The sequence below is a fragment of the Homo sapiens genome, chromosome 10 (assembly GCF_000001405.40).
Source record: "Homo sapiens chromosome 10, GRCh38.p14 Primary Assembly".
NCBI classification, from domain to species: Eukaryota; Metazoa; Chordata; class Mammalia; order Primates; family Hominidae; genus Homo; species Homo sapiens.
This window is the reverse complement of record NC_000010.11, coordinates 33,170,366-33,192,832: the sequence shown is the minus strand read 5'-3', so window position 1 is coordinate 33,192,832 and position 22,467 is coordinate 33,170,366. Positions and strand designations below refer to the sequence as shown.

The 22,467-nt window shown below is 41.8% G+C and overlaps 1 protein-coding gene across 13 annotated transcripts in view, besides 1 other annotated feature; it reads left to right on the top strand.

Annotated features, from left to right (window-relative positions):
- Window positions 1-15,340, top strand: part of NRP1 (neuropilin 1) — a 157,175-nt gene extending 141,835 nt beyond the window's left edge. For 4 of the 13 annotated variants that reach the window (NR_045259.2, XM_006717525.3, NM_001244973.2 and 1 more), the window contains 5 exons: window positions 415-552; window positions 6,345-6,616; window positions 7,109-7,205; window positions 10,085-10,135; window positions 12,468-15,340. Coding sequence is in view for 12 of the 13 variants with exons in the window: in XM_006717525.3 (XP_006717588.1) it covers window positions 415-552; window positions 6,345-6,616; window positions 7,109-7,205; window positions 10,085-10,135; window positions 12,468-12,757 (848 nt within the window). In the remaining variant the exon portion in view is untranslated. Of the gene's footprint in view, window positions 1-414; window positions 553-6,341; window positions 6,617-7,108; window positions 7,206-10,084; window positions 10,136-12,467 lie in introns of all 13 variants that reach the window. The other 9 variants (XM_006717524.3, NM_001244972.2, XM_006717521.3 and 6 more) reach the window with 3 other exon arrangements.
- Window positions 20,915-21,501: an enhancer, noted in NCBI's record as "NANOG-H3K4me1 hESC enhancer chr10:33460260-33460846 (GRCh37/hg19 assembly coordinates)". NCBI's record gives its function as "activates a minimal SCP1, AML or CMV promoter by ChIP-STARR-seq in naive H9 embryonic stem cells {active_cell/tissue: H9 hESC(naive)}" and the evidence as "EXISTENCE:reporter gene assay evidence [ECO:0000049][PMID:30033119]".

The window sequence follows — 22,467 nt, the reverse complement described above, 5'->3', positions numbered from 1 at the left end:
CTCTAATTAAGATTCTTTTCATTGGTGGGTATCAACTTATATGATTTATCCTCAAGAACAGAATGGCTTTCATATTAAATACTGTGGAAATGGGGAGAGTGCAGCAAATGTAATACACGTGCTTTAGAAAATAGCCTTCCTGGAGATTTTATGTAAACCCAATTTGACAGGCAGTCCATAATCCTTTTAAAGCTGGATTTTTAAAGAAATTACTAAATGTGGTTTTGCAAACATTTTGACATCTCCATGCATCTTTTGGTTTCTTGGTAATCCTGGCTTTCCTGGAATTTTCAAACAGACATAAAGTTGTATAAATCGTGCTTTCCATGAGTGAACCAAGGGCCTTTGTGACCCTAAATGATCAAATTTGCCTTTCTTTGCTTGTCTCTTATTTTTACTTCCCACCCACTGAAGAGTTTCCAACATATGGTTTTAACTGTGAATTTGGCTGGGGCTCTCACAAGACCTTCTGCCACTGGGAACATGACAATCACGTGCAGCTCAAGTGGAGTGTGTTGACCAGCAAGACGGGACCCATTCAGGATCACACAGGTATCACAGAGTTCACTTCGGCTGCATGGCTTTGCAGATTCTCTTTGATTCCGAGGCTGTGTTACTGGGAGGGTTTCTAATGTCTGTGAATTTAGGGCGGGTAGGAATTACTACAGGCGTTCACATGTGCTATTATTTTCTAGAATTAACAATGTCTCTTTCCCTAGTAGCGAGAAGCATAGGGCAAATCATAGTAATGCCCCTTGAAGTTGGCCACTGATTGGCCTCCTTGAAAACAGCAAATTGGGCAAGGATCTATGAATTAGCATTCATCTTATCCTTTTTTTTTTTTTTTTTTTTTTTGAAATGGAGTCTCACACTGTTGCCCGGGCTGGAATGCAGTGGCACTAGCTCCACTCACTGCAACCTCCGCCTCCTGGCTTCACACGATTCTCTTGCCTCAGCCTCCCAAGTACCTGGGATTACAGGCATACACCACCACACCCAGCTAATTTTTTGTATTTTTAGTAGAGACGGGATTTCACCACATTGGCCGGGCTGGTCTCGAACTCCTGACCTTGTGATCCACCCACCTCAGCTTCCCAAAGTGCTGGGATTATAGGTGTGAGGCACCGCAACTAGCCTCATCTTATACTTTTTCTGAACTTCTTATTTTGGGCAATTTCAAACATATTCACAAATGGAAAAGAAATAGTAGAATGAATTCTCTATGTGCACGACCCTGCTTCAACAATTATCAGATCATAGGAAACTTAATTTATGTCTGTCATCCCTGACTCTGAATTATTTTCAAACAAGTCCAAGCATATATTATGTCCCCTCGTTTATTTTACAACTAAAGAAACAATTCACAATGCTTGCTCTCTCCCGACCCTTGAAGGGGAGGTGGGGAAAGACGGTGTGGAATTCTTATTCACTGGGGAAAGATTGAAAGTGTAGTGTATTTCCTTTGAGCAGGTAGAAACCTCACCATGCCCTAGATCACAACCCTCCCACCACCTCCTGCCTTACTTTCTTCCTAAGATTAATTGGTGGGGGAGGAATGGGTTGGGGGACAGAAAAAGCTGGCAGCTTCTCCAGTGAACTCTATTATCTGCCCCCTTCCTGCTACCCACCTAGTCATTTCACTGCCCAACTTGAAGTACAGTATAAAGGACCAGCAGACTGGACGTGGTGGCTCACACCTGTAATCCCAGCACTTTGGGAGGCCAGAACAGGAGAATCAGTTGAGTTAGAGAGTTAGAGACCAGCCTGGGCAACATAGCAAGATACTGACACTACAAAATAAATTTTTTTTTTAAAATCAGCCAGGCATAAGGGCGCACACTTGTAGTCCCAGCTACTCAGAGTCTGTTTTAGGATCCTTTGAGCCTAGGAGTTCAAGGCTGCAGTGACCTATGATCACACCATTGCACTCCAGCCTGGGTGACAGAATTAGAACCTGTCTCTAAAGAGAAAAAAATAAAAATTAAAAATAAAGAAATAACCAGCCATGTCTGGCCCAACACACATGCACACACACACACATACACACACACACATATACACACTCACAACAAACGCCCAATCCATGAACTTCTGCACCCACTCAGAAATACTTACAGAGCACTGCTTGCTCAAGTAGTGGCTTCCCAAAAGGTACCCCAGGGGGGCATTTGCTGATGCTAGGAAATCTCATTAAATTCTCCCCATCTTGGCTCTTTGGGTGAGTGAGTCAGTGGACTGAAGGCTGGGCCAAGGGTACTTCATGCCTTTCCCATTTTGTGGTTCACTTTTCTCCCAGTGAATATAACCATTAAATAGGTTGAATAGGCCTCCTTCCACCACAGCCACCTCCTTGCCTAATGAGAATGACAAGGAAATTGGATAAAATTGGACTCCTTCAAATCTGAGACACTTTCAATTGAATCTTAAGACAGGCAGTTTTAGAAAACTTAAAATACTTTGACTGTAAATGGCACTGTACATATAAATGGCATCAAATTAACTAAATGCAATTAGCCAAAATGAAGGCAGTAATGGTGGAAAAATTGATGCAAAGTGAAGCAAAATGGCTCAGTAGGATCTGACATTCAAAGGAGGTTAAAAGCTATGTTAGCCAGAGACAAAAGCTAAAAGGCTTGCAGAAGTAAAGTGCTAATTGAGAAAATGAAGACAGAGTTCCTGACCCAGAACTGTGATAAAACCCTTGAAAGGGAAAATATCAGTGCTTTATGTGTTAGAGTATCAGAGAAGGAGAGCTTGTCGTAGATTAACAGCTGAGAAGTGCGATTCCTTCAGAAGGGTTTGACTCTTTTGTTCTCTCAGCCACCCAGATTTACTTGGCAGTTGTGCCAGGTCAGCTCCGACTAGAAAGAGCCCCTGCAGTTCTAGAAACACAATCATTTGTGTAGAGAGATGGGTGAGCCCGACATCTGAAAGGCAGGAACTACTTGTTAACGGGAAAAAGATCCAGATGAAAAGAGCCCTTCACGAAGCTCCCGCGCATAGACTGACATTAGAGAGTAGATGGTGCTTTTTTTATAATATTATTTGGTGAAACTTTGCAAGCCAGACATTGGGTTGTTTAAAAAGAAAATGAACACTAGCTAGGTAAAATATCCTGCTGCTTATCGAAAGGCATCCCATTTGCTTGGTTTTCTGCATTTGACCTCAAAGAATGGAACTAGGTACCTCCTTTCAGAGGATTCCTGAAGTCTGGCATCTCTCCCTGGTTCAGTGAACAAGTGGTATTTGAGAAGCTCTGTTACAGGGCAGATGCTGACTTGGGCACTGGAAATACACGTGTAAAGGAAGAGGTCCCTACGCTTGAGGAACTCGCAGTCTGATCATGGTTGGGAAGCAACCACAGTGCAGTTCAGTGAGGGCTTCCAATGGCAGAGGCCAGTGACAATGGACCATGTAAAAGATGACGGAAGAGGGGTCAAGGAAAGCAGCCCTGTCTCAGACACCGGCTGAGCTAGGCTTATTTTACTGGCTCATGTTTGGTGTGCTTTGCACAGGTTTTTGTATGGGAAGCAGTTAGATAGAGGCAGAGTGTGCATGACTTTGGGAACTACCTCCTTGCCTAATGAGATTGACAAGGAAATTGATGAAATTGGATTCCTTCCATTTTCACTGAGTAGAGCAGAAGTTTGTGGATCGGGTGTTTATTGTGAGTGAGTGTGTGTGTGTGTGTGTTTGGCAGGACACTGCTGGTTCTTTATACTATACCTTAAGTTGGTGATGCAGTGACCAGGAGGAAAACAGGATGGGGGTGGATAAAAGGTCCATTGGAGGGGCTGCCAGCGCTCCCTCTTTGTGAAGAAGTGTGGATAGGCTGCAGGCAGTGAGCAGCCTCTGAAGAATTCTAAGCAGAGGAGCAACACGAGCAGTTTTAATTTATATATATATATATATATATATATATTTAAGACAGGGTCTCTGTTGCCTAGGTTGGAGTGCAGTGGTGTGATCTTGGCTCACTGCATCCTCCACCTCCCAGGTTCAAGCGATTCTCCTGTCTCAGCCTCCTAAGTAGCTGTAGTCCCAGCTACTTAGGACTACAGCTATGTAGGAGCTACTACAGATGCCCGCCACCACGCCCGGCTAATTTTTGTATTTTTGGTAGAGACATGGTTTTGTCATGTTGGCCAGGCTGGTCTCGGACTCCTGACCTCAGGTGATTCAGCCACCTCGGCTTCCCAAAGTGCTGGGATTACAGGCGTGGACCACCGCGCCCGGCCACACGAGCATATTTAAAGACCACAGTGTGAGAAGGCAGGGACCATAAGAACTTCCTCAGGCAGAGGATTCTTGAAATCTGGCATCTCTCCTACTGCACTGAACAGGCATCATTTGAGAAGCCCTGTTACATGGCAGGTGCTGTGTTGGGCACTGGAAATACAGGTATGAAGGAGGGGGTCTCTGTGCTTGAGGAACTTACTGTCTAGTTGTGGATGGGAAGTGATTATGGTGCAGTTGAGTGAGGATGTCCTATGGGAGAGCATCCCTCTACCTACGTCCACTTCTCTCCTTCTTTCTAACACCCATTCTCTGACTAGCCTCAATAAACTTTGAGCAATGAGCTCAATAAGTGGGATTAAGACATGGCAGCAGCATTGCCAATTTCAGTCTTTTTTCCGTAAGATTGAGGGGACAGAGGCACGATGGGTGTATTTTTTTCCCATCGTGGTGGATTCATCACAGTGAAATGGCACCATCCCACAGACAAGTAATCACATCTTGATAAATTAGTGGGCAAAACAAATCCTAAGTGTGAATGGATCAGCTCAGTCACAGAGGACACCTGCAAGGTCAGAGAGCGAGAGGGACATTCATCCTGCAGTATCAAACCTACTGCTAGAGCTGCCATTTGTGAACACCCTTCCTTTATGATTCCACCCGTTGGTTTGAAGAAGGGCGGGCTCTCACATAAGCAACCAGGTAAGGAAAGGAAGCTGCCCATGAACACGTCCACATCCACCTGGACACTGTTGACACAGGCAAGCGGAAAGGAGTATGTGCCCACGTGTGCACAGTGAGAAAGCACCTTGCAAACACACAAGTCTCTTGGGCAACAAACACAACCTCTTGCTGCCCACTGAGGCCCGAGCAGCAGATTCACACTTAATCAGGTGAGGTGTTAGAGAAGATGATTTCTATTTGCAGAGCCAACAGTGAAACATGAGCTGTGTTGACCAGGTGGTGGCAGGAGGAAATGTTCCCAGTGGGGGTCATTAAAAGCGAAGCCAAGAGAAAGTCCTCGCAGTTCAGCAAGTGTCTAAGTTGCCAAAATGGCACGTTCTAATGAACCTCAACAAGGCAACCTTGCCTCTCCTTGAGCCAGAAGCCCACATCAAATAGAAGCAGGGCTCACAGTAGAGATTCAAGCTCTCAGGTGTGTTTAAGGAATTCGAAAACCATGAAAACAAACTACGGGAAAAATAATCTGAACTTGAAAAGTATAAAAAAAAAGATTACTACATTATTAGGAAAAACTACAGGTTTATGATTATCAAGCAGTCATAGTGACAGAAATTTCATTAATCAGAAGTCCTGCTGCTCAAATGATAAATAAAAATACATCTCAATGATTTCATTTAATGCATGTGTTCACATGGGTGCCGCAGTGTGATCTTAAAGTTGCATAAAAACAGGGTTTCTTGGGCCCAGCGTGGTGGATCATGCCTGTAATCCCAGCATTTTGGGAGGCCAAGGTGGGAGGATTGCTTGAGGCCAGGAGTTTGAGACTAGCCTGGGCAACATAGCAAGATTCTATCTCTACTTAAAAAAAAAAATTAATCTTTTTAAGAACTAGCTGAGCATGGTGGCATGGGCCCGTAGTCATAGCTACTCAGAATGCTGAGGCAGGATGATCACTTGAACCAAGGAGTTTGAGGCTGCAATGAGCTATGATCACACCACTGCATCCCAACCTGGGCAACAGGAGTGTCTAACATAATAAATAAATAAATAAATAAGGTTTCTCTAAGAGCCAGGAGTTTTCAGTCCAGTCTATGCACAGACTTTGCTTTCAGTTTGCTTGTGATGGTGCAAATGCCAGCTTGAGGCATAGCATGTGTCCATATGAAAATGCATTCCATTATAAGTAGTATCCTAATTAGTGCCACTCAGCCTTCCCCTAATCAAATGTCCATTTTGCAAGAGCTGAGAGCAGGGCCTTAGGTGCCCATGAGGTCCCCAAGTGTGCACACTTATCCCTTTCCACTACGTATTTGGGTTCTTGGTGCTCAGCGCAGGAAGCTTTTGATTAGTGAGACTTGAAAGAAGAGAGATAAAAGTGTGGTAATCCTGGCCACTCTCCCTAACACAGTTCTTTGTCACAGCAGGAGATGGCAACTTCATCTATTCCCAAGCTGACGAAAATCAGAAGGGCAAAGTGGCTCGCCTGGTGAGCCCTGTGGTTTATTCCCAGAACTCTGCCCACTGCATGACCTTCTGGTATCACATGTCTGGGTCCCACGTCGGCACACTCAGGGTCAAACTGCGCTACCAGAAGCCAGAGGAGTACGATCAGCTGGTCTGGATGGCCATTGGACACCAAGGTGACCACTGGAAGGAAGGGCGTGTCTTGCTCCACAAGTCTCTGAAACTTTATCAGGTATGACCTCTTCCCAAGGCTGGGGAGGGCAGTGGCTGCAGGAATGCTGAGATGATATGTTGGAGGCTGTGCAAATGAGACATGGGAATTATTCCGAAATTATTTCCAGTGTTTCCCAACCCTGAGATATTGCTGCAATGATAACCACCTTAATAGCAGATTTCACAGTCTCCTAGATTGCAGGAATAGAACCAATTTGCTGAGAAGGAACACAAAGGGCTTCCGTGTCATCTATTTCTGGGCTTTCACAATGTATCATTCCTTTTGTTTGCTGCTTTCTCCCGTTTTAAAGTTTGTATTATAAGAAGAGAGTGTAAGGAGAAGGTGCATACCATCACCAGGCAGCTAATGTGGATTGATGAGTGAAGTCTGTGTTACGCTGAATCTGATGAATTTAATTTATGTGCCGTAGCTGGAGCTGAACAAGCATTTGTAAACACTGCCATGTGAGATGAGCATTTCAATACTGTGAAAATGATCTTATTTTGTTAGGTGATTTTCGAGGGCGAAATCGGAAAAGGAAACCTTGGTGGGATTGCTGTGGATGACATTAGTATTAATAACCACATTTCACAAGAAGATTGTGCAAGTAAGTATGAGCTGCTGTAGAAACCAATGGAGTGCTTGCCCAGGGCAAGACTCTTGCCAATATGATGGTCTTTGTTTTGCTCATTTCTACCTAGAATTTCGGTGTGGCCTCTCGGCACATCATAGGAAATGCGTATTCTGGTGCAACAGGGCATACAATCAGCCCAATTTACCTGTGTCTGCCCCGTCACCTACCCTAGGTCCTTCATAATGGCTGCTTGATACCTATAAAACTCCACAAATAATGCAGAATCCAAAGATGATAGCTAAGAAGACCCAGCTTACAAGCTATAGATGCCATACCGAAACATTTTGATGAACAGTGGAAAGTCAGACATCTGGATAATTCCAAATATCTGGGTGTATAAACAAAACAGCAGGCCTCTGAAAACTTTGATCAGAATAAGTTTAATTAAGAATGCATTGTTAATGAACCATAGAAGCCATAATTCTTTGCTTTATCACAAGTAGATGTTTCTGACTTTTAAAATATCTGAAATGACTTAAAGGACTTCAATGAGATTCAGAGACTTGGCCTAGTATTTCAGAGTTGGTCTTTATGGGTCTTGTACTAGGTGGATGTAAGACATAGAAAACCAATTCATATTCCCTAGTTCTTGATATATAATTACAAATAGCATTACTAATGGCAGTGTAATAGCACAGTAATTAGTCTTCAGCTCCATTTGCTACATTGAAACTTTTGTTATACATCATTATATAATAGGATGTTAATTATAACAAAATGGGATAAGCCTATTGGGCCAATTTAAGACAAAGGAGGTCTGTTGGCTGTAATGGGGGTTTTGGTCACTTCAGCAACTTACAAAGCTTTTATTATATAATATATTGAATATATATAATCCCTAAAGCGGCAATAATTTGATAGGATCCATCGAAGAAATTGGGCAAAAAGAAAGGAGCAATGAATAAAGGCTTGCTTCTTCATACTATTAAAGGGAATCTGCTTAGTGCTGCACTATTTAGCAAATCTTCACAAGAATGATAAGGCTTAATAGTTTAGTTGCAACTCCTTTACAAATTACCCACATCCATATCTACACTGCTGTAAAAATGTGTATTTCATGTAGTAACACAGTGTCTGTGATTTCTTCACTTCTCCATTCCAAAGTGAGAGTGATGATGGTGATGTTTTGGGATGTGAGAACAAACTCCACAGACTAAAACAAAGAAACGAAATTAAATTCAGTTCAACAAGTTCTAACGAAATTCAATTCGGTTCAACAAGTTCTAACTGACTACATACCATATGCAAAGCAGCATGCGGATGCTCCAGTGAAAGTACATGGCTGAGCCGGGTGCAGTGGCTCACGTCTGTCATCCCAGCACTTTGGGAGGCCGAGGCAGGAGGATCATTTGAGATCAGGAGTTTAGGACCAGCCTGGCCAACATGGCAAAACCCCATCTCTACTAAAAAATACAAAAATTAGCTGGGCGTGGTGGCACGCAGCTGTAGTAATCCCAGCTACTCGGAAGGCTGAGGCAGGAGAATTGCTTGAACCCAGGAGGCGGAAGTTGCAGTGAGCCAAGGTCATACCATTGCACTCCAGCCTAGGCCACAGAGCAAGACCCCATTTCAAAAAAAAGAAAAAAGAAGGAAGGAAGGAAGGGAGAAAAGAAAAGAAAGCACATAGTTGAGACAATTCTATGGGACTTTTTCTTTTCTTGTGATTTGTCCATTTAGCTGTAGTTGCTGCCAGACATTGTAGTGGGAAATTCACAACTACGGCTCCATTAAACCACTTTGTTTATTTGTTTATGCTGCTACCAATAAAAATATGTGTAAGACAATTGTACAATGATTCATCAAATATGCATCCTTGAACATCTGGGTGTGGATGCTATGAGATTATCAACTATTTATTAATCTTTCATTCATTCATACATAGAACAAATATCTATTAAAGCACCTATGATGTGCTAGACACTGTTGTAAATGCTGGAATACAGCAGTGGACAAAGCACTCAAAAATTCCTGCTCTGTACTTAGTACCACAGGAATACTGGAACTCTACTTCTTCAATAGCTATTTTATGTATTTATCTATTTTTGTAATACACAGGGCACAGTCTCTTGCCTCAAAGAGTTGGCATACTATTCGAGAAGCCAAACTAACGCACACTAAATTTAGGAAGCAGTTATCTACAAACTATAGGATGGTCACCATATGTACGAATCTACTTCAGTAGAACCTATATTCACCAGATTTTTTTCCACATTTCAGATGCCAAAACCATGTCTCTTCCCCCTTCTCTTCTTTTTTTTTTTTTTTAAATTTGTTGTTGTTGTTTTTGCTTTTTTGAGACAGGCTCTTGCTTCCGTCACCCAGGGTGGAGTGCAGTGGCACCATCATGGCTCACTGTAAACTCCATCTCCTGGGCACAAGCTCTCCTTCCGCCTCAGCCTCCTAAGCAGCTGGAAAGCTAATTTTTTTATTTTTGTAGAGATGGGATCTCACTATGTTGCCCAGGCTGGTCCTAAACTCCTAGCCTAATGTGGTTCTCCTGCCTTGCCCTCTCAAAGTGCTGGAATTATAGGCACGAGCCAGCATACCCAGCCCACCCTTGTCTCCTAAAACAACAGATTCTGCTAGCAGCAGTGCTACCTGGATTTAGATATGGCACCTTAAAGGCAGTGTTGTGATGTCACATTACCAATTTCCCGGTCATTTAACATTGCCTCTTTATTGATCTGTTTGGTGATTTCTGATTGAACTAAAAAATCCAAAAGGAGCCCAGTAGACACGTGTGTGTGTGTGTGTGTGTGTGTGTGTGCATGTACCTAAAGGTTTGTGTAGTTTGGTGCATTATATTTTGATGGCAGTTCAAATATCTCTTTCAATTTTGTTTGACTTGTCAGAACCAGCAGACCTGGATAAAAAGAACCCAGAAATTAAAATTGATGAAACAGGTAAATTTGTCTTGCTGACCAATTTTTAAAAAATTTTACTATGGCTTTCATTGTGTTTATGAAGAAACTTTGTGGAACTCTAATACACTGGTATGTCAAAAAGTTCAAATAAAAAACATCTATGCCCATGGCCCTGGGTTGGTGCTGTGGATCGGATTGTGCTCACAGAGTACCCACTTCCGAGCTGCCCATAAGACTTGGGGAGCCTCGGTGACGGGTCCTGCTTGTACACCTGGTTGAGCCTGGGAAGTGTGCTCACCCTGGCCCTTCCCTGCCCAGTCTAGAGGTGGAACATAAAGGATAATCAGCTCAAACACACTCAGTTTATCACTACAAAGACAGAAAATTAGTGAAGACTATTTCCATACACAGTTATTTGAAACCAACCGAAATTCTTCTGTTTGTTGATATCCAGCTAGGATCTTTAAGAGACCAGAGCCCAATTTCTGAGATAATCCATTGTGTTTGATTCATCTTTTCCCATCTTCCTCTACTAGAACCTTGGTTTTGTGATGATGATGATGATGATAAGAAGGATTTATTGAAGAGTTAGTATGTTCTGAGCACTTTACTTACCTGATCTTTTTCTTTTCTTTTTTTCTTGAGACAGAGTCTGTCTCTGTCACCCAGGCTTGGAGTGCAGTGGCGTGATCTCAGCTCACTGCAGCCTCCACCTGCCAGGTTCAAGCGATTTTCCTGCCTCAACCTTCCGAGCAGACTACAGGCCCACACCACCACACTCAACTTATTTTTTTGTCTTTTGTAAGGTGGAGTTTCACCATGTTGCCCAGGCTGGTCTTGAATTCCTTAGCTTAAGCAATTCCCTGGCCTCAGCCTCCTAAAGTGCTGGGATTACAGGCGTGAGCCACTGCACCCGTCCTACATACCTTATCTTATTTAATCCTCACAGCAGCTCTAGGGGTTGTATTTGTCCCCATTTTACAGATAGTGAGACTGAAACTTAAGTAGCATAGCTAATTAGGTGGTAGCCTCACACTTTAGCCTGATGAACTATAAATGTGTGTTTTTGCTGAACGCTGCTTTGTGATCAAATGCAAGACCTTTGATCAGAGTTAGGCCTTGCCTGGTATTAGTCTATTCCCAGAAGTTTCCAGATCTCCCAGCCAGCATTGTGGGCTGTTGGACACTTGCTCCACCATCACTCACAGCTGCTGTGTGGATGGTGCTGCACCCTTATCATCAATGCATGTCAGCATCTGTTGCCCTTAGAAATGGGATCCTACTCTATGGCCAGCCGTGGACTTCATAGAGACAAATAAATATTGCACCTTGCTGTTAGTAATATGAACACATTACCAAGTCCACACAGAGATGTAAACTTTATTAGAGGTTGTTTCAAAACAATATTTCATCAAGGGAGAGAGTATTAATATGCCCCAAGGCTTGTTTTCTCTTGGTTAGGGATTTGCATCTCATATTTTTAGTTTTCTTTGATTGGAATCTTTGTTGATCAGAACACCATTAAGTAAACCCCAGGCATATTGTGCGTTAACATTTTCATCCCGTTTCTAGTACCAGGTAATTAGGCTCAAAGCTCCCATGTTAACAATTTCTCCTGTTCCACTCCAAAGAAAACAAGTCCCCAGTGACTGAGCTGCAGAGCAGTGCAACTGTCTCCAGTTAAACTACCAGGGCTGCAAAGATGCTGATTATTAGTAAATGTCTTCTATTTGGCATGACAGACATGGTTTCTCGATTTGAGCCACACTCTGTTTACATGTCAGCAGCAAGCATTCTCTTGTTCTAAAAAATCACTCCTTCTTTACTGAAACTACTGTAGACTTTGGGCAAAATTCGTTTCACTTGAAGATTTTCCATATGGGAGAACAAACACATGCATAAACCATGCCAGATCCTGGAAACAGCACCACGTAGAAGGGCAGCCATGAAGGTTTTTCTTGTGCCTGTTTTGGGGTTAGGTACATGCACTGGGAATGGTAAAATCCCCTTGCTAGACTAATGTGTGACTAAGCATTTTGCAAAACTTAATGATCACCTATCTAGCCAAGGACTGTAAACACAGATTACAATCTAGGACAGATGGGGCTGCATGAAATCTGAGTTAGATGAGCAAGGAACCTCCCAGTTGATCCAGAATGGGTTGTTTCCACGTGCTAAGCAGTCTGTCAGAAGCCCCAGCGCCCACTCCCCTCTACCACCTCCCACACTTCTGTTCCCAACAATGAGTCAGATATGACAGGCAAAACTGGGGTGTGTGATTTGCTCCTGTTTCGTTCCTTTCTATTTTTCTGTCTGCTTTCATCTGGTCTGTTGGCGGTGCTCACGGAGACAATATTGTTTTTTTCCATAGGGAGCACGCCAGGATACGAAGGTGAAGGAGAAGGTGACAAGAACATCTCCAGGAAGCCAGGCAATGTGTTGAAGACCTTAGACCCCATCCTCATCACCATCATAGCCATGAGTGCCCTGGGGGTCCTCCTGGGGGCTGTCTGTGGGGTCGTGCTGTACTGTGCCTGTTGGCATAATGGGATGTCAGAAAGAAACTTGTCTGCCCTGGAGAACTATAACTTTGAACTTGTGGATGGTGTGAAGTTGAAAAAAGACAAACTGAATACACAGAGTACTTATTCGGAGGCATGAAGGCAGACAGAGATGAAAAGACAGTCAAAGGACGGAAGTGGAAGGACGGGAGTGAGCTGGGGAGCTGTTGATCTTTCACTATACAGGCTGGGAAGTGTGTTGATGACCACTGAGCCAGGCTTTTCTCAGGAGCTTCAATGAGTATGGCCGACAGACATGGACAAGGAGCTGTGTTCACCATCGGACTCATGTGCAGTCAGCTTTTTTCCTGTTGGTTTCATTTGAATAATCAGATGCTGGTGTTGAGACCAAGTATGATTGACATAATCATTCATTTCGACCCCTCCTGCCCCTCTCTCTCTCTCTCCTCTCCCCTTTGTGGATTCTTTTTGGAAACTGAGCGAAATCCAAGATGCTGGCACCAAGCGTATTCCGTGTGGCCCTTTGGATGGACATGCTACCTGAAACCCAGTGCCCAGAATATACTAGAATCACCGCATTTCAGTGGACTCCTGAAGTTGTACTTGTGTATAATTGCCCGCGTCGTGCATAGGCAAAGAAGGATTAGGCTGTTTTCTTTTTAAAGTACTGTAGCCTCAGTACTGGTGTAGTGTGTCAGCTCTGTTTACGAAGCAATACTGTCCAGTTTTCTTGCTGTTTTTCCGGTGTTGTACTAAACCTCGTGCTTGTGAACTCCATACAGAAAACGGTGCCATCCCTGAACACGGCTGGCCACTGGGTATACTGCTGACAACCGCAACAACAAAAACACAAATCCTTGGCACTGGCTAGTCTATGTCCTCTCAAGTGCCTTTTTGTTTGTACTGGTTCATTGTGTTACATTAACGACCCACTCTGCTTCTTGCTGGTGAAAGCCCTGCTCTTTAATCAAACTCTGGTGGCCCACTGACTAAGAAGAAAGTTTATTTTCGTGTGAGATGCCAGCCCCTCCGGGCAGGCAAGGGCTCTGAAGATTTGGCAACGTGGCTTAATTGTTCTGCTTTTTCTGTAGTTCAATTTCATGTTTCTTGACCCTTTTGTATAAAGCTACAATATTCTCTCTTATTGTTCTTTCATATGGAATGTATTTTCAAATGTAAACTCTCTTCTCTTTCTCTCTCCTATCTCTCTGTCTTTTTTCTCTCTTAGAATTGGAGGATTTGCCATTGTCCAGGAAAGAAACTTGCAGCTTTAACCTGCTGGGAATGGCAAACGATTTTACTAGACTTTATGTTTAAAAATAAATAAATAAGGGAAATTCCTAACTTTGCCCTCCAAAGTCTAACTTTGGTTTTCTTGTTAACTGGTTAAAGTGACAGTATCTTTTTTCCTTATCTATTCTATTCAAAATGACCTTTGATAGAAATGTTGGCATTTAGTAGAAATAGTGATAAGTTGAGGAAAGAAATAATACAAATTGGCTTTCAAGTGAGACCCAAAGGAAGAACTGGATAAAATCTTCCAAATCCAAAAGCATGAGATTTTTCTATCCAAATATGCAAAAATGACCCAAGAGAACTTTCTTATTTTGCTACTGAGTCACACAAGGGAAGTGGAAGGAAGAACAGTTAATTTAAGAATGAAACTATAAATCCTGATGCCTGGGGGTCAAGTATTTTAAGATAAGAGGGGGAAAAACACATAAAGTCAAACAAATGTTTTAAAAATTCATAACAGCAACCTTGAAAAAATAGACTTAAATGAATGCTTCTAGAAACTTCCAGCGGCTCACAAAGAATAAGCCTGCCTTAGGGCTGGCAACATCTAAGCCTCTAACAGCACAGGGAAGCAAATATCTTACCAGGCAGCCTATGAATTAACCCAAAGAAGCTTTGGTTGGTTTTGGTGGATTTTTATCATGCCATGTTGGACATGAGATTTTTTAGATCTTCCTTCCCACATTGCTAGACGTCTCACTCAAAGACATTTGTTGGGAGTCACATTTGCATCATAGACGAGACAGTCCATTCATCTTAGTTAAATTGGATTGAGAATGCCTTTTGTTTCCAGGAAAATATTGATCACCATGAAAGAAGAATAGTTTTTTGTCCCCAGAGACATTCATTTAGTTGATATAATCCTACCAGAAGGAAAGCACTAAGAAACACTCGTTTGTTGTTTTTAAAGGCAACAGACTTAAAGTTGTCCTCAGCCAAGGAAAAATGATACTGCAACTTTAAAATTTAAAGTATCTTGCACTGATAAATATATTTAAAAATTATATGTTTATAAAGTTATTAATTTGTAAAGGCAGTGTTACAAAATGTTCAGTTTATATTGTTTTAGATTGTTTTGTAATTTTTAAAGGTGTAAAATAACATATTTTTTCTTTATGGAAATCTATAAAACTTTCTGTAGTAAAATGTTTTCATTTTACTGGTATATTATTGCTTCATGTTTTGTACCATCATAAGATTTTGTGCAGATTTTTTTTACAGAAATTATTATTTTCTATGACAATATGACACTTGTAAATTGTTGTTTCAAAATGAACAGCGAAGCCTTAACTTTAAATGACATTTGTATTCTCAGACACTGAGTAGCATAAAAACCACATAGAACTGAACTGTAACTTAAATTCCAAACTATGACTACTACATTCCAAAGAAACAGTTGAATTAAACATTTTCATAAAATATCCCACACCTGATGGCTTTTATTATATTAGCACTGTTCTAGTTAAAGAAGTTGGTGACATGCCACTATCCAATAACTTCCAAGATTTTTAAAAATTCTCTTTTTTAAAATATCCTGATAAGGAGAGAAGATTAAGAAGACATTTTCTGAAAGTAGAATCTCAACTCACATTGGACCCTGTCATGATAAGGAATACGGAATTTGACGTTAGGAATGGGAATGATCCTAAATTGTGTGTCAAATGTTCTATATTTCATTTGGTAAAGTTTCTTTTATCATATTCACTCATAACTTGGTAAGTTTTGTTCTTGCAGAAAATAGTAATGAACCTGACAGTATTTATTCATGCACCCACGCTGCATTTAGGTAATGGGAAAAGTTGGGTATGACATTACAACTGGCTGTTTGGTAATTCTTAGGAGAGTTTTATTCCATCTAGGACCAGAATAATAGGAAAAATAATAACAATAACAAAGACAACAGAAGTGTCAAGTCAAAGGGGCCCTTTTTACAACAAAACTGGCCTAGCTTAATTTCTATTACTCACAGACCAATAAGTCTTTCTCTACCACCGTCCTCTGACTGTAGGAAAACGTATTCCTGGAAGCACAGGAACTCCCTGAGGAGTGGGCTGCTTTGGACAGCCAGGCTCCATTAATCAATATTTCTTCCACTTCCTGCTTTTCTCTGGACACTTATGCCTTTTTGCATTTTCCAAGATTAACCAAGAATAGAAAATTTTCCCTAATGCATGGGTTTTTAGGTCTCTCTACTCACAGAAAAGAGTCAGAGATAGAGAATCACTTTACTAAAGTTACATTTTACCTAAATTCATGGATGTTTCCAGAAAAATATGATGACTTCCAAGGAGTCTATTAGAATGAATCCACACATACTTTCGGAAAAATGCTAAGGGCCATGCACTAATACTATCTCTGTTTCATTGTTTGAGAAGAACTTCAACATGAATGCTGTTCACTCTTTTCCCTAGTTAGAGACTAAGCTAGGCTTTTCGTACTAGGTTTAAGAAGCTAAATCGCTGTATAATACTTCCCAGATTCAGGACTGAAACATTTAACTTAAAACATAAAAATGATTTATTGTTGTGTCTCCTGTCTTCCCTGATAACTTATTAATTGCCACTTGGGCTGAACTGCACTGTATTTTTATGCAAATCAAATCGGCATTCCATAATGTTCCTGCTTCCCAATGGTAATTATAACAGTTTGTGTTGCATTAAAAAACAGTTTTGCCAAGAATTAGCTCTATTTCCCTAATCTATATCCACTAAGGGATCTTAAGCAGAATTTCAACTTGGGGATTGAGAAACCTAGATGAAGGGACTATCACGTTGAGTAGAACTTAGCAGCAAGAAGCATGGAAGACAACAATGAGAACTGACTTTTTCCCCGCAATGTTCCAAAGAAACATTGAAAGATGATTCAGAGGAGAACATCACATTATCATATGCATGTAAGAAAGGTCCTAGGAGCTGATCCTATCATTTTAGGAGAGAAAGAGTATAGGGATTTCTATGGATGGCATTGCACTGCTATTTGTTGAAACACTAGCTGTTTTCACAGCAGCTCTGTGAAAGGTAAGTAAGTTAAGTTTTGTAATTATTCATTCCACTTTATAAATGAGGAATCCAAAGTTCAGAGAGGTTGAGTGATGAGTCCAGGATGTATCTGGTCTCATCTCTCCTCCATTCCACCCACCGTTCCATAGTTCTGCATTAACTTGGGAGAGGTTCACATGGGGCCCGGCTGCCCAAAATGTGTCCCAAGAGGCAGCAATAGCAGCAGCATCACTGGAATCCTGTTAGAAATGCAGAGTCTGGGGCTGTGTCCCAGACCTGCTGAGTCATTTTAATAAGATCCCCAGACCACCTGTCATCACATTCGGATTTAAGAAGTCCCCACGTGGTCTGCTGCCACCTGAGCCAGGTGTGCAAAAGTTTGCATGCTTCAGATGGTGGTGTCTGAACACAAAGCACTTTTCAGAAGCGTCTAAATACAATGCAGCCTGGAATAACAATGGTAAATTTAAAATCTCACTTAACCCAGAAGTGCGCTTTGTGGTCATTCTACCTGATTACTTGTGGGGGGCCTAAAAGTGGGCTTTTCTGATAGAGAAGAGAGCCTGCTGATGTGGTAATTTGCTGGGTTAAAAACTTTAAAAGTGTAGCAGAAGCATAGCAAGTGCTCTTTTCCTTTTCACAGTGCAGTCAGTGGAGAAAGGGGAATGCACACCAATATGTGAATATCCAATTCCTTCTATTCAAAACATGTTGCCTTACATAGCACACACAGCTTAATACCTTCCAAAGATATTAAATTCCTGAATGGTAAAACTAGATGGAACTCTATTTAATCTTTCTTATTAAAGAAAGTATCAGATAATAGAGCTTTGTTGTCAATAGTGGCTCCCAAGAGAGGGTTTTTCTATGCAGAAAAATTGTCTCATCTCCACATCTAAATGGAATTGTCCTGTAATGATGCAGGCGTTCACAAGTGTATAATATTCATAGCCAATAATCTAATTTTATCACTGCCCTGTAAATGGATTTGGAAAGTCGCTTGCTCTGGCAGAATGTTGGACTGGAAATGGACTCACTGTCCTGGAAGGGGCTTCTGAGTCTTGCCTTTGTGAAGCTTGGACAAGACAATGACTCACCCGGATGAGGAGCAGTTCTCTGTTCCTCATAATGCTCCTTTCAGTGATCTGGGCATCTCTGCCCCATCATTTCTGACATGAGCCAATTCCACACCCTTTTCTTAAGGCCCCGTTATCATTTTTTCAGATAGATGATGTTGGCAGTGCTCATGATCTTGATGTCATCCTGCCAGGGAGCCATTCCATCACCTATCAGGATTATCATTGCTCTAATTTTGTCCAACTTCTGAAATTTTTCAATGTTGATTAAATTGCTCCTTGACTATGGATACGTGATATATTCAAAGCAGACTCAATTATTATGCTCTGATCTTTTGCAATTCTGCTGGAATTCAAGCCCTCCAACTATAAGAAACTCATTTTTAGAGTCTTAAACATGATTTCTGTTAGGTCAACTTTTAATTTTATTTATATTTAAGTCACCCAAATTCTCTTTACTTGTAAGAAGAAATACTGTTTCTGTTATGCAAATAACAAATTATCCCTTCTATTTAATTTTACCAACACATTAGAAAGTTAGGTGGCTGGAGAGGTCCATGCAGTGGCAACAGTGTGATCTCTCCCTTGTACCCTAACACGCAGAGTCACTACAGTAGATATTTATGTTCCAACTACTCAGGAAGCACATTGTCAAATCCACTCTGCATAAATTTCTTAACTCCTTAATATCATAACCACTACAATTTCCTAAAGGTTTGCTTTGTACCAGACTTTGCTAGATACCTCAATTAATCCTTCAAGCTACCTTGTGATTTGGGCATATAAAAATAAGTTCAGAGAGGCTAAGAAAAGTAACTAATGTCACACAGCTAGTTGGTAAGGTGCATTTGCAAGATTCAAACCCAGGTCTGTCTAACACAAAGCTTACAATCCTAATAGCTACCCTATGCTGCTTTCTCAGTGTAAAGACATGGTCTTTCAGTTGCTACAGAAATGCTTTGCAGTGTGTTAAACTACGATCTCACTTTACTATTAGGCCTGGTATTAGTCAAGTTAGGTTAGGCTATAAGGTAAGAAATAAACTCCCAAATATTAGTGGATTAATCTATAAAGGTGTATTTGTTGCTCACACAATTTCTACTATGGGTCTGGTGGCTCTGCAGGGCAGCTCTGTTCCATGCAGCGATTCAAGGATCCAGGCTGGTTACCTCTTGCTGCCATACTAACCAGAATATGTGACTTCTAGTCTCTGTGCAAGAGAGAACTAGAAAGATGCTTACTGTCTCAGATGCTTTAGCCTGGAGTTGGCACAGACCCTACCACATTTCAAGGGCTCTGAGAAAAGAGGTGGAGCACTTGTATATTCAGTGAGCTGTTGGCATCTCTGCCACAGCTTTCTTTTTTTTTTAATGAGACAGGGTCTTGCTATGTTGCCCAGCTTGGTCTCAAACTCCTGGGCTTAAGCAATCCCCCCTCCTTGGCCTCCCAAAGTGCTGGGATCGGAGGTATGACCCACTGCACCCAGCCTCTGCCACAACTTTCAAGGGCAAAGCCACACTTCTGCCATAGAAGGGTAGATGAGATAATTCGCTATGCTTGTCACGTAGGGAAGTGAGGTTCTTCTCCGACTGGAAACCAACCATAATTTAGATGGAGCAGTCAAACAAGATGTCAAATGAGATGAGATGGCTCATGTCAAAGATGAGCCTCCTGAGTGTGGGACTGTGAGGGGCATCCTCCATGTGGAAGCAGGTCAGGAGACAGGAAGTGAGGAATCGGCACTAAGAGCCTTTAGAATTACTTAAGCCCTTTGGGTTCAAAGAAAAAGGCTCTTAGGAGGCACCATGTGAAATGAGACAGGCTCTGAGTCCTGGGAACCAATGTTTACATTTCTCATGTGTGCTCGTGTATTTCCACTTGAGTTTCCCTTCATATTTAGTCATTTAGTATTCAGTAACTTCAGTAATATGCAGTGATTTTAAAGTCGCCATGCATCTCAGCTTTCCAAATGAGAGGGGAAAGATTTGTGTTTATATTTGGGCCAAAACCTAAGGAAGGAAGTCAAACAATATGTGGAACCCAATATCCACAATATTTGTGAATATTCCCATCCACAAGACTTCCTGTCTCCACTACCTATTTTATTTCTTTCCCTAGAATTTATCACCTGTTAGTACAATATATACTTTACTGACTTATTTTATTATCTATCTACAGTATTAAAATACAGATTCCATGAGTGCACTGATTGTCATCCATTTAGTTTAGTGCAGTATCTACAACACATGGAATAAACAGTACCTGGTACATGAGAGATGTTAAATCAGTATTTGTTGAATACCGGAACCATGGTTTGAAACCAGCCTAGGTAATATAGCAAGACGCCACTCTACAAAAAATTTTTTTAAGTTAGCCAGGTGTGGTAGTGTGTACCTGTAGTCTTAGCTAATTGGAAGACTGAGGTGGGAGGATCACTTGAGCCCAGGAGTTCAAGGCTGCGTGAGCCATGATTACCCTACAGCACTCCAACCTGGTGACAGAGCAAAACGCTGTCTTAAGGGGAAAAAAAAAGAAAGAAAGAAATGAGACATCAGGAGACTTTTAAAGTTGGGTGCAGGTTTAACCTACCTGGAGATCCTTCTTTTTCAGCAAGATCTTGGAGGATTACAGTCTCCATGTTTTTGGTTTTTGTTTTGTTTTGTTTTGTTTTCTTAAAAGAAATTTCTTGGCCGGGCGCGGTGGCTCACGCCTGTAATCCCAGCACTTTGGGAGGCCGAGGCGGGCGGATCACGAGGTCAGGAGATCGAGACCATCCCGGCTAAAACGGTGAAACCCCGTCTCTACTAAAAATACAAAAAATTAGCCGGGCGTAGTGGCGGGCGCCTGTAGTCCCAGCTACTTGGGAGGCTGAGGCAGGAGAATGGCGTGAACCCGGGAGGCGGAGCTTGCAGTGAGCCGAGATCCCGCCACTGCACTCCAGCCTGGGCGACAGAGCGAGACTCCGTCTCAAAAAAAAAAAAAAAAAAAGAAATTTCTTTCACACCCTGCTTGTTCTGGAATTACTCTGTACCAGGATGACACCTCCTCTACTACTTATCTCTTCTACAGAGACAAGCAGTCCTCCTGCCTAAATTTCTTCTTTTCTTATCTCTATCCATCCTCACCACACAAAACTTATTGAGTGCAAAATCACTCATGGCTTCATGGCAGCTCCTCTCCCAGCAGCTGGGTGAAGACCAACCTTTTGGATATTGTGTTGAACATGGCATGAAAGGTTAGCTCTGTGAGATGCCAGCATTAAGGATAGGTTTTAGAAACACAACCAGGCCACCTGCAGGATCAGTTAGGGAGGCAGACAGCTTCCTGAGTGGCATTATTTCAGGATTACTGAAAGGTCTCCAAACACCTAGCTCTGAGCCCGCCTCTCATTCAAAGACAGATTAAGCATACACTACTACTTTCCCTATTCCCTAGATTTTATTTTATATATAAAAACAATACCTTAAACATAATAAAAGTGTAATGAAGCTTAAAAAATAAATAAGTACAATAGCAGAATGGAAATGAAAAAATACAGGCAGAAAACGAGTAAGATAGACTATGAAACTTTTGAGTTAGTAGCTCAAATAGTAAACTAAAACTATATCCTATACAAGCAAGGAAGAAAATTAAGCAGACAGATCTGAGTGCAGTGGCTTACGCCTGTAATCCCAGCACTTTGGGAGGCCCGGGTGGGCGGATTGCTTGAGTCTAGGAGTTAGAGACCAGCCTAGGCAACATGGTGAGACCCTGTCTTTATTAAAAAAAAAAAAAAAAAAAAAAAAAAAAGCCAGGTGTGGTGGTGTGCACCTCTGCTCCCAGCTACTCGGGAGGCTGAGGCAGAAGAATTGCTTGAACCTGGGAGGCTGAGTTTGCAGTGAGCTGAGACAGAGCGAGACTCCATCTCAATAATAATAATAAGAAGAAAATTAAACAGACAGGGAGATAGAGAATGCTTAAAGATGGGTTACAAATGGTAAAAGAGAAAATATTGAAAAACAGAAATTGGGGGAAAAAAGCCCTGCATCACAAAATTTTCCTCTACTAACTGTGAAAATGAGACTAAAATAGCAAAACCCAGCAAAAATCATCACCTAAAGCAATTGAAACAGGTAATGGCTACAATCAATTTCAATGTACTTTCAAGCCTGAAATCCAAGAAACACAAAACTCTTGAGCCGGCAGGGAAGTGCCACACGGCCTGGCTTCTCACCTGATTCTGTCCCTCTGAGGGACACGTACAGCTGGATCAAAGAAATCCCGAGTCCTCACTGACAGTCAGCACGAAATCTTGAGTTACTCTGACTGAAAGGATGTCCTCATCCTCTTCCTTTCCTGACTGAGGAGAGCTGGAAGACCACTGGGAAAAACTGGTAGGACCTAGGGGGAGGCGGACACCATAAAGCTCTCTCTGAATTAGGGAAGGCTTCTGAAGCCCAGGGGTTTCCTCACCCTGAGAATGAGCTACACCCCACCAT